At 44.3% G+C, this 12,003-nt stretch overlaps 1 protein-coding gene across 1 annotated transcript in view, besides 1 other annotated feature; it reads right to left on the bottom strand.

The window, feature by feature from the left end:
• Positions 1,613-1,682: a silencer, noted in NCBI's record as "silent region_16633". NCBI's record gives its function as "represses an Ori minimal core promoter by ATAC-STARR-seq in GM12878 lymphoblastoid cells {active_cell/tissue: GM12878}" and the evidence as "EXISTENCE:reporter gene assay evidence [ECO:0000049][PMID:35858748]".
• Positions 3,244-12,003, bottom strand: part of ATP6V0E1 (ATPase H+ transporting V0 subunit e1) — a 51,675-nt gene continuing 42,915 nt past the window's right edge. The window contains exon 4 of the mRNA NM_003945.4: positions 3,244-4,290. The gene's annotated coding sequence lies outside the window, so the exon portion shown is untranslated. The remainder of the gene's footprint in view (positions 4,291-12,003) is intronic.

The following is a 12,003-nucleotide window of genomic DNA, read 5'->3' as shown; positions in this document are numbered from 1 at the left end:
ATGACTTGTAATTACCATCTAGAGGCAAGCAACGCTAGTAATTTTGTTCTCTTTTCTGTCTCTTTTCTAGGCATGTATTTTGAAAACAAAATTGATTTTACTTCATTTGGATGCAGCAACATGATTTAAACAGCTCCTTACGTCGGCATTAGGTTATTTCTAGTCAACTGTACTGAGATAGGTATTATTTACAATGTTTTATGTTGCGCTTTCCTTTGAAAATTATGAATTTTCTGCAATTGATTTCATCCACTCAACTCTTGAGAGAAAGTTGAAATAAAAGGGCCAGGGGAAAAGTAACACATAACATTTGCTTTAGTCTCCATCTCCATTTTGTTGTTGTTGTTTGTGAGATGGAGTCTCACTGTGTTGCCCAGACTGGAGTGCAGCGGTGCAGTCTTGGCTCACTGCAGCCTCCGCCTTCCAGGTTTGAGTGATTCTCCTGCCTCAGCCTCCCTAGTAGCTGGGATTACGGGCACCCGCCACCATAGTGGGCTTTTTTTTTTTTTTTTTTTGAGACAGAGTTTCACTCTTGTTGCTCAGGCTGGAGTGCAATGACACCATTTCGGCTCACTGCAACCTCTGCCTCCTGGGTTCAAGCGATTCTCCTGCCTCAGCCTCCTGAGTAGCTGGGTCTACAGGCATGTGCCACCACGCCCGGCTAATTTTGTATTTTTAGTAGAGACGGGGTTTCTCCATGTTGCTCAGGCTGGTCTCAAACTCCTGACCTCAGATGATCTGCCCTCCTTGGCCTCCCAAAGTGCTGGGATTACAGGCATGAGCCACCGTGCCCGGCCAATTTTTGTATTTTTAGTAGAGATGGGGTTTCACCATGTTGGCCAGGCTGGTCTTGAACTCCCAACCTCAGGTGATCTGCCTGCCTTGGCCTCCCAAAGTGCTGGGATTATAGGTGTGAGCCATCGCGCCTGGCCTCCCTCTCCATTTTAAACACATATATTCTCCCAAACCAAAAAGAATTTTTGCATAGAGGATGGAGTATGAAACTGTTCTAAAATGTGTAGACATATATTTTTAAACATAATTTATGTTAATAAAGGAGCAATTGACTCTTGCCAAATTTTTCATGATTCTTGGCAACAATTTTAAATCATTTCTCAAATTCTAAATTTACTTCAGCATGACCAAACACCTACCGTTGCTTAAAAAAAAAAAAAAAGGCTAAACAAGAAGGTGCTACTTTTGAAGCAACATCAAAGGAAAGATAAAATATTATTAAGTTGGGGTAGTGACACACGTCTAGACATCATTATATGTTTAAAGAAAACAACAAAAACAGTGCTAAAAGAAACCAATCAATCCTCACACTTCATCTTCAAAATCATGCCAGAAATACTTCTATCCTGGTATAAGAGTTGGTAGAACCTGGAAGGGCAGGAAGGGTGTGGTCCAGCCACTTAGGCTCTGGCTCTGAACTCAGGCCTGGGGGCCTAATAAGGGTGCCTTTTATTTTTCTGTAAACCTCTACCTCCAAGTACAAATGACTAATCAAAAGTGTAACCATAGGCCAGGCACAGTGGCTCACGCCTGTAATCCCAGCACTTTGGGAGGTCGAGGGTGGGCGGATCACCTGAGGTCAGGAGTTCAAGACCACCCTGACCAACATGGTGAAACCCCGTCTCTACCAAAAATACAAAAAATTAGCCAGGCGTGGAGGCAGCCTACTGTAATCCCAGCTACTTGGGAGGCTGAGGCAGAACTGCTTGAACCTGGGAGGTGGAGGCTGCAGTGAGCTGAGATCGTGCCATTGCACTCCAGCCTGGGCAACAAGAGCGAAACTCTGTCTCAAACAAAACAAAACACAAAGAACCCAAAGTGTAACCCTACGTAGAAAAAAAAAATCACTTGGCTGTCCCTCTGGGTCCTATCTGAATAGAAAAGTACTGTCAGTGTACCCTGGGGATTTGGTCATTTATTTGGAAAATACTCTTGATGTATTATTATAATTCACAAATCACCTTCCCCGCCAAAATCTCATTTGGTAACAACTTCGTATAGTAGAAAAGGTATGCATTATCCCTATTTTACAGATGAAAACACTGAGAGTCAGAAATTAAATGATTTGCCCCGTTACACAGCTAGCGAGTGATGGGAGTAAGATGGCAAACCTAGGACCTCTGCTAATCTAGTGATTGTCCCAGGAGGCCACATGACGTTCGCCTGGAAGGGCTCTGGAGCGCAGGAACATTTTCGGTATCCTCTGAACGGGCTAAATGGAGGTCCTTCCAGTCTGGGCCCTGACAAACACTGGATGGAGTGTGGCAACGGTCAGGAAAATATGATTCACCAACATCCATCTCCGATGCCTAATCATGTTGTTAACAAACAGTTCTGCTATTAAGGGTGAGGTGACGAGAGAACATGTGCCTGGGTTTAGGTATTAATGGCACTGAACCTTCTCAAGAATTTAATAAATGAAACAACTAGGGCTCAAGGGTGAAGTGACTTCCTGAGCAAAGGGAATTTACCGAGTTTCCTCTCATAAAACCTGAGCTGATTTCGTCATTCCCACATTTCAACAATAGTATGATGGCAGGGCGCGGTGGCTCACACCTGTAATCCCAGCACTTTCGGAGACCAAGGTGGGCGGATCACGAGGTCAGGAGACCAGCCTGACCAACATGGTGAAACCCTGTCTCTACTAAAAATACAAAAATTAGTCGGGCGCGGTGGCAGGTGCCTGTAATCTCAGCTACTCAGGAGGCTGAGGCAGGAGAATTGCTTGAACCCGGGAGGCAGAGGTTGCAGTGAGCTGAGATCGCACCACTGCACTCCAGCCTGGGCGACAGAGTGAGACTCTGTCTCAAGAAAAAAAGAAAGAAAACATGGATCTTACTCCCCTGTCTAGCTCTGACCAACTGCATTAAGCTGGGCGAGAAATTCTCCCTGTCTGGGCTCAGCTTCCTTATCCATAAAATGATGGGGTTAGCCTATATCACCATAGCCCCCTTCAACTTCAAATCATCAATGTTTCATGTATTCCATGAAATTAGCTAATGTGGCCCTCCTGCTGGAAACGTAAAGCATGGAGTTGCCTAACAGACTGCGCAAAACAAAAGTAAAGAATGAAAAGAAACGAGAGCAGGAGAGTCACTTCAACTTGAAACTCACTTTGGTCATAAGAATAGCAAAGTAATGAGTTCAGACAGTTTGGGAGGAATAGAAAGTAGAAACTGCAAAACAGGAAATCCATTCTTGGCTGGCTGTCAAAAAGCCATGAGCTGGTGAAAATTTAGGTTCATTTTAATTTTTAATTTCTTAAAAGTAATAAAGCTCTCAAATTAGTGTATCGAGATGCCTGCTACTGAAATACAAAATTACTGTCTCCTGCCCCTGGCTTTTTAATCACTCTTGACTTCTTTAGTCCTATGTCTGAGGCTGTGATGGTTCCATCTCAGGAGCATTTGCTGCCTTGTTCTGCAGCTGGCAGGTAACCTTGAACTGCTCACCATGGTACCATCTTTAAGGACAATGCTCCAACACAACCTTATATTACAGTTCTATGTATACTAACCTTATCTCTCCAAATAGCTTGTGAACTTGCAGGGACTCCAAATTTACACATCTTTGATCCCTCCAGTGCCTTGGCTGCAGTAGGCACTCAAATAGTTACTGAACGATTAAGAAACGCACTTACCAGTCTTTTCAGGCATCTCAAGCTACATGGCAGGGTTTATATACTCAACCTAAGTTTAGACTACAAAATCATTTTTTAAAAAGGCATTATGTAGCGATAGAAAAGCTTATAAAAATGAACTTTACAAACACCGAGCCCAGATTTCCATAGAAAGGAGGAAAATATTTATTCCAAAAGATGGCAGAAAGAAGAAATTCATCCTGAAAGTATAGTTTGGTGCGATTCTGTTGAGATGGCTCTTCCCTCTGAACGTGCTCTCCTACTGACCACCCCACTGGAGTCTTGTTTGTCTTGCAGCAGTTTCTAAACACTTCACTGATTCCCACGTGAGAAGGCAGGAGCCATCTTCAAATCCACAGATTCCAAGGAGAGAGTAACGTATCTCTCAGAAGAACAGCATCTTCTATCTCAGAAGAGTACATAATCGTTTTGTGGAGTCGGCACAGTTCAGGTTATGGAGGCACGTAATTCACCAAAGTGCAAAAAAGGCAAAGGAAAACACGCTGCATTGTAGAATAAGGCATTCAAATGTGCTGTTAACGTTTAAGGCAGCTAATGGCCAAAACAGGCAAGTCAAGAAAAGTGGTCTGGTTTGGAGGTGATTTTGCATCTAGAAGGCATTCTCTTCTCGTGACCTGCAAAACAAAACCATTCTGGTAACTGGTCCTCATACATTCCTCAGGAAGGCAAAAAGTTAACATCGAGAAAGTTAACCAAGCCAACACTTTAAAATGCACAGATGCTCAACAAAATATGAAACACAGGATAATCAACTTGGTGCAAGTTTGGCCAGGTTTTGCAGGGCTGTGGCAAAAGGTCCAGTAACCAAGGACACTGCTGAAATGAGGAGCACAAGTAACACTCTATGTTACAGAAAGCAGGAAGAATGAAGCTGACTGAGATTGATTGTGCTGGAATCTAATGAATTCACCGCAGTTTCAAGAGTCTGTATTTTTCCCTTCCCTCTTATAGCATGGAGGGGAGGTTCCGCAGGCATGGCGAACTCTGCTCTGGGGCCAGGCTCCTGGGGAGCGGGCTCCTTGCATTGGTCTTGTACTGGAGGCTGCCCTGTAGCTTGCTCCCCGTTCTGGCTATCTCGAGTGTAGGTGACAAATGACACTTTTCTTTTTCTAGCAGCTTAAATTCAACACCATCTTTTTTTTTGTTTTGTTTTATTTTTGTTTTTTTCGGACACAGGGTCTTGCTCTGCCATCCAGGCTGGAGTGCAGTGGCGTGATCTCGGCTCACTGCAGTCTCAATCTCCTGAGCCCAAATGATCCTCCCATCTCAGCCTCCCAAGTAGCTGGAACTACAGGTGCACGCCAACACATTCGGCTAATTTTTATATTTTTTTGTAGAGACAGGGTTTCACCATGCTGCCCAGGTTGGGCTCTAACTCCTGGGCTCAAGCGTTGTGCCCATCCTCGCCTCCCAAAGTGCTGGGATTACAGGCATGAGCCATCATGCCCTAAACAGACTATATTTACAATGTACTAGGAAAACAACATCAGGCCAAGGAGTGGTAATTACCAGAGCTACTTGTTTCTTGTAGTAGTGTGAAAGCCTCATAATATCTTTCACTTAATCTAGGGATAATTTTCTGTTCTCTTCCTTAGGCCAGCAGAACAGCCTCTTTGTACAAGTATCAGTACCAGGCAGATTATAAATTTAGGCCAGGCGTGGTGGCTCACACCTGTAATCCCAGCACTTTGGGACGCCAAGGCGGGAAGATCACCTGAGGCCAGCCTGGGCAACATAGCGAGACTCTCTACAGCACGATGACACACACCAGTAGTCCCAGCTACTCCAGAAGCTGAGGTGGGAGGATCACTAGAGCTCAGGAGTTTGAGGTTACAGTGAGCTATGATCATGCCATTCTGCACCCCAGCCTAGGTGACAGAGCCTGACCCTGTCTCTAATCAATAAATAATATTTTTTTCAGACAGTCTCGCTCTCTCACCTGCCCTGGAGTGTAGTGGCCACAAACACAGCTCACTGCAGCCTCGACCTTCTGGACTCAAGCAATCTTCCTGCCTCAGCCTCCCAAGTAGCTGGGACTATAGGCCCACGCCATCATGCCCAGCTAATTTTTAAATTTTTCATAGAAATGGGGTCTTGCTATATTGCCCAGGCTGGTCTCAAACTCCTGGGCTCAGGTTTCCTCTTGCCTTGGCTTCCCAAAGTTCTGGGATTACAGGCATGAGCCATCACACCCAGCCAATAAAATAAATTTTATCTGAGAATACTGAAGTAGTGAATACATATGGTTTGTCTGTTAATTTTCCATGAAGAGCACACTGATTAGACTTCTTCATAGTACAGGCATTTTGTGACAAAGAAACAATCAAAAAAGGGAAAAATAAGCCTTCACTTTTGAAAAACCATATACAAATGGGGGATAGTTTTCACTCAAGATCAATGATACCAGTTTAAAATAAATGTAGGCCGGGCACAGTGGCTCACGTCTGTAATCCCAGCACTTTGGGAGGCCGAGGCAGGTGGATCACTTGAGGTCAGGAGTTCGAGATCAGCCTGGCCAGCATGGTAAAACCCCATCTCTACTAAAAATACAAAAAAATTAGCCAGCTGTAGTGGTGCATGCCTGTAGTCCCAGCTACCTGGGAGGCTAAGGCAAGGAGAATGGCTTGAACCCAGGAGGCGGAGGTTGCAGTGAGCTGAGATCACACCATTGGACTCCAGCCTGGGTGACAGAGCAAGACCCCATCTCAAAATAAATAAATAAATAAATAAATAAATAAATAAATAAATAAATAAATAAATAAAATAAAATAAAAGTAAATGTGCATTATGTTACATGGCAAAGGCATGCGGTTTGATTTTGGAATAAATTTTTATTTTTATTTATTTATTTATTCTTGAGACAGGGTCTTGCTCTGTCATCCAGGCTGGAGTAAATGCAGTGGCACCATCACCGCTCACTGCAACCACCACCTCCTGGGCTCAAGTTCCTTCCATCTCAGCCTCCCAAGTAGCTAGGACTACAGGCGTGTGCCACCATACCTGGCTGATTTTTGTATTTTTTGTTGTTGTTGTTGAGATGGGGTTTCACCATGTTACCCAGGCTGGTCTCAAAATTCTGGGCTTGAGCAATCTGCCCACCTCAGCCTCCCAAAGCGCTGGGATTACAGGTGTGAGCCACTGCACCCGGCTGATTTTGGAGTAAATTAAGGAAGCTTTTTTTTTTTTTTTTGAGGCAGAGTCTCGCTCTCTCGCCCAGGCTGGATGGAGTGCAGTGGCGCGATCTCCACTCACTGCAAGCCCTGCCTCCCAGGTTCACGCTATTCTCCTGCCTCAGCCTCCCGAGTAGCTGGGACTACAGGCGCCCGCCACTATACCTGGCTAATTTTTTGTATTTTTTAGTAGAGACGGAGTTTCATTGTGTTAGCCAGGGTGGTCTCAATCTCCTGACCTCGTGATCCGCGCGCCTTGGCCTCCCAAAGTGCTGGGATTACAGGCGTGAGCCACCTCGCCTGGCCAGGAAGCCTGTATTCTTATCATCTTTGATAAGAAATAGCTGACTGGGGGTGGGGCTGAAGAACTTAATCAAAGGGTCCATGTTCTCATTTTGCACGTCTCAAAAAAAAAAAAAAAAAGAGTCATAAGGTTACCATCAGATAAAACTGACAAAGGGTCGGATGCGGTGGCTCATGCCTGTAATCCCAGTACTTTGGGAGGCCATGGTGGGTGGATCACTTGAGGTCAGGAGTTCGAGAACAGCCTGGACAACATGATGTACCCCATCTCTACTAAAAAAAAAATACAAAAATTAGGCCGGGCACGGTGGCTCACGCCTGTAATCCCAGCACTTTGGGAAGCCGAGGCGGGCAGATCATGAGGTCAGGAGATCGAGACCATCCTGGCTAACACAGTGAAACCCCGTCTCAAATAAAAATACAAAAAATTAGCCAGGTATGGTGGCGGGCACCTGTAGTCCCAGCTACTTGGGAGCCTGAGGCAGGAGAATGGCATGAACCCGGGAGGCAGAGATTGCGGTGAGCGGAGATCGCACCACTGCACTCCAGTCTGGGCGACAGAGCAAGACTCCGTCTCAAATAAATAAATAAATAAATAAATAAATAAATAAATAAATACAAAAATTAGCCAAGCATGGTGGTGCATGCCTGTAGTCCCAGCTATACGGGAGGCTGAGGCAGGAGAATCACTTGAACCTGGGAGGTCAATGTTGCAATGAGCCAAGATTGCGCCACTGCACTCCAGTCTGGGTGACAGAGCGAGATTCCATCTCAAACAAACAAACAAACAAAAACCTGCCAATGGGCCAGGTGCAGTGGCTCACACCTGTAATCTCAGCACTCTGGGAGGCGGGGCGGATCACCTGAGATCAGGAGTTCAAGACCAGCCTGGCAAACATGGTGAAACCCCGTCTCTACTAAAAATACAAAAATTAGCCGGGTATGGTGGCACATTCCTGTAATCCCAGCTACTCGGGAGGCTGAGGCACGAGAATCACTTGAACCCAGGAGGCGGAGTTTGCAGTAAGCCAAGATCATGCCACTGTACTCCAGCCTGGGCAACAGAGTGAGACTCTGTTTCAAAAAAAAAAAAAAAAACAAAAAACTGACAATGAAGATAACATAAAAATATTAAGTCTAGAACCAAGAAATCTGTTCGGGGAAAAGTAAGTGAATATTCTTCTTAAACGATATATTAGGCTTAATTTTTATCTGTTTAAAAATTTTAGATAAATTTGCAAAATAATTCCTTCTTTACTATGATATGTAAGGCTATATATTGTAGGAGATTAAATACAAGGAGTTAAGCATGTATTTAACAATTCAAGGCAATGTACCAAATGAATGGCAAAAACTGGAGAGCTAAATATGTTCAGAAAGAAAAGAAATCACTTTGAAACAAAGTAGCCAAGGAAGGAAGTGCTAGGATTTGCCAGCTGGGCACTGAAAGAGAAAGCATCAGAAAGAATTAAGAGAGAATGGGTGAACTGAGGCAAGAAAGCAGAAGGAATTTTCACGGGAGAGTGTATTTACTAAGTTGTTTTCTAAATTAATGAATGTAATAGGGTAGTGAGAGTCAGGAAAAACCAAGTAAAGCTAATGAGGTCAAGAACAAGGGCCCACACCACTAGGGCCTGGAGGGGAAAGTAGTGAGAAGGAAGGCAGACTGGGGAGGGAAGGCCTTGACAGTCAAGTCAGAGCTGGACATGACCTGCAGGTTAGCCGTTCTTATCTGTTGTGGCTCATGGGACCGCTGGTGACCCGGCAAAAGTTGTGTGCTTATAACATTTTATATCGCATTTCAAGGGGCATGTACTCTCTACAATCAGAGACCTTAGGTTAAACAAAACAAAACAGAAAAGCAAAACAAAACAAAACAAAAAATCCTGCTGCAGGCCCCAGAGAACTACTGACAGTTTCTGAGGCAAGCTGATCTATTTCAGGAAGTGCTACACCAGGAAGATAAACAGGGTGGTATTCTGTAGATAGATGACGGTAGAGCCAGGGAGACCAGATGAGGAGCACCTGCCATAATTCAGAGCTGTAGTAAGTTGGGGCAGAAATCAGGGTGCCTGAAGGAGGAATGGAAAGGAAAGGCGGACACAAGAGACATAATGAGAGCAAATGGATTTGAGGAAGAGGAGAAAAAAGTGACGCGACAGGTTCTGACCCTGACAAGGAAAACTATGATATTGGGAACTGAAATGGAGACATGGCTGAACCTGAAATGGCAGCAGAATACCCAGCCAGAGTACTCGGAGTAAAAGATTTACTTTTTAACCACACGACACCTTGCACTATTGAACTTCTCCCAAGTATGGCTTAATTCAACACCCCAACAGATCACAAACCCCTTTGGAGCCCAGTCTTCCCCTACTTCAGTACTATACACCTCACAAGCACTCAAGTATTTTAGGAATGCATAGAAAAACAGCTCCCACAGGGCAGAGGCCTAATTATCAATATCCTCTATTTCTTTCCTGGCCCGGACTTTATAATAAAACAGCATTTCTATGCCTTCAGACTGTGGTCAACCATATCAGATCATCTACCAGGCAACAATGCCTTGCTAAACCAAGTAACTTCCAGGATGCTGGATCTGAAGCCGAAGCCACCCCTCCAAGGAGATTCCATGGTAGCAGCACACCCCACAAGGCTGTAGGAAAGTGAACATCAACAAAAACAGCAACCTTGACATTAGAGTCCCACATACATCTTAGGAAGTCACACTCAGGAATCTAAGGGAAGCAGACGAGGCTGGCAAAGCCAAGGATGGAGTGAGCACTGCTCTTAGGAGTACTGGACACGTTTATTTGCAGCCAATAAACATAACGTGCTGTAACTCAGCCTCTCATCAGGCTGTGGTTCGGTTCTTCAATTCAGGAAAGAAATCATGACAGTTACCTTGATTAAAGCAGCAAAAGATCGGCTATGTATTTAACGGTGTGTTCTTTGGATTGATTCCATTTCATCTATATAAAATTATTCTAAAGCTTTCATAACTGGTCCTCATTTTTCTCTGTTGAATACCATGTCTGGCTTACACCTACTTTCCAAATCTGGCCTCTTAAAAGGAATCATGTACTAAACCAAACATTTTTCCTTATCAGGTGAGGTCAGACCCAAATCTACCTTCTAAACTCCTTTATCATCTCACCATTAGGTAAAAGTTCAAAATTCAAAAGGTTAAACAAAACTCAATCCTTTGACTTTACCATCCAAAAAGTGAAGTCAGCCTGTCTTAAGTCTGTCTGTTCTAACGCTAGGCAGAGATTAGATCTCTTGATGTGTTAACTCCAAAGTCTTAGGTTACGATACCACTATAATTCTGTTAAATGCAGAATAGGCATGACACGATGTTCATAATTAGGGATCGCCCGGCTTGCCCTCCTACTTCCTGGCATTTTGCTTTTAAAAGAACCAACTTTAGTATAAGGGTTTCAAGGAGCCCGAGTGTGTGCTGTGGACCAGAGTGAAAACATGAGGAATCTGTCAATCCGGTTGACAGAGACATAAGAGTGAAAAGAATAAGCAGATAAAATGTCTTCAGATCCACCCACCCAGTGTTATTTAGTGTCAAAGGGCCCAATTCTCTCATTATCATGGAAGGAAATGAAACTCAGAGAAGTTAAGTGAAAAGCAATGCTGGAACTAGAACCAACTGAGGCCTGAAGTTCTCAGCTTTGAACCCCAATCAACAGCCTTACCTAACACTCACTACAGTTGAAATAAAGAGTAGAAAACAGAACTTGATGAAAAAGGCAGGTTAAAAAAAATTGGTATTATTGCCAGGCACATTGGCTCATGCCTGTAATCCCAGCACTTCGAGAAGCCAAGGTGGGAGGATCGCTTGAGGCCAGGAGATCAAGACCAGCTTGGGTAACAGAGTGAGACCCCCATCTATTAAAACAAAAACAAAAACAAAAACCCACACGTACGTATAAACATATATATAAAATATATATATTTAAGGGGAAATTAAATTGGCAAAATTCAGGTTGTGGCAAAACAGAAACTCATACACTATTTTTTTTTTTTGAGACGGAGTCTCTTTCTGTCACTCAGGCTGGAGTGCAGTGGCACGATCTCGGCTCACTGCAAGCTCTGCCTCCTGGGTTCACGCCATTCTCCTGCCTCAGCCTCCGGAGTAACTGGGACTACAGGCACCCGCCACCATGTCAGGCTCATTTTTTGTATTTTTTTTTTTTTTTTTTTTAGTAGAGACAGGGTTTCACCGTGTTAGCCAGGATGGTCTCGATCTCCTGATCTCGTGATCCACCCGCCTCGGCCTCCCAAAGTGCTGGGATTACAGGCGTGAGCCACCGTGCCCGGCTATTTTTTTTTTTTTTTTTTTTTTTTTTGAGACGGAGTCTCGCTGTGTCACCCAGGCTGGAGCGCAGTGGCACAATCTCTGCTAACTGCAAGCTCCGCCTCCCAGGTTCATGCCATTATCCTGCCCCAGCCTCCCGAGTAGCTGGGACTACAGGCGTCTGCCACCACGCCCAGCTAATTTTTTTGTATTTTTTTAGTAGAGATGGGGTTTCACTGCGTTAGCCAGGATGGTCTCGATCTCCTGACCTCGTGATCCGCCCGCCTCAGCCTCCCAAAGTGCTGGGATTACAGGCATGAGCCAACACGCTCGGCCACTCATATACTGTTGATGGGAATGCAAAACAGTATAATCTCTATGGAAGACAATGCAACAGTATCTAGAAAAATCATATATATCTTTAAACCAGAGATTGCATTTTCAAGGAGGCTACATTAAAGATCATCAGCAAAAACAGAAAATGGCATATGCATAGGATGGCACTGTGGCTTTATCAGTAATAGCAAAAGACTAGAAATAACCCA

This window comes from Homo sapiens, chromosome 5 (genome assembly GCF_000001405.40).
Source record: "Homo sapiens chromosome 5, GRCh38.p14 Primary Assembly".
Classification (NCBI taxonomy): Eukaryota; Metazoa; Chordata; class Mammalia; order Primates; family Hominidae; genus Homo; species Homo sapiens.
The sequence above is the reverse complement of the archived record's forward strand: the minus strand, read 5'-3'. Positions and strand labels throughout refer to the sequence as shown.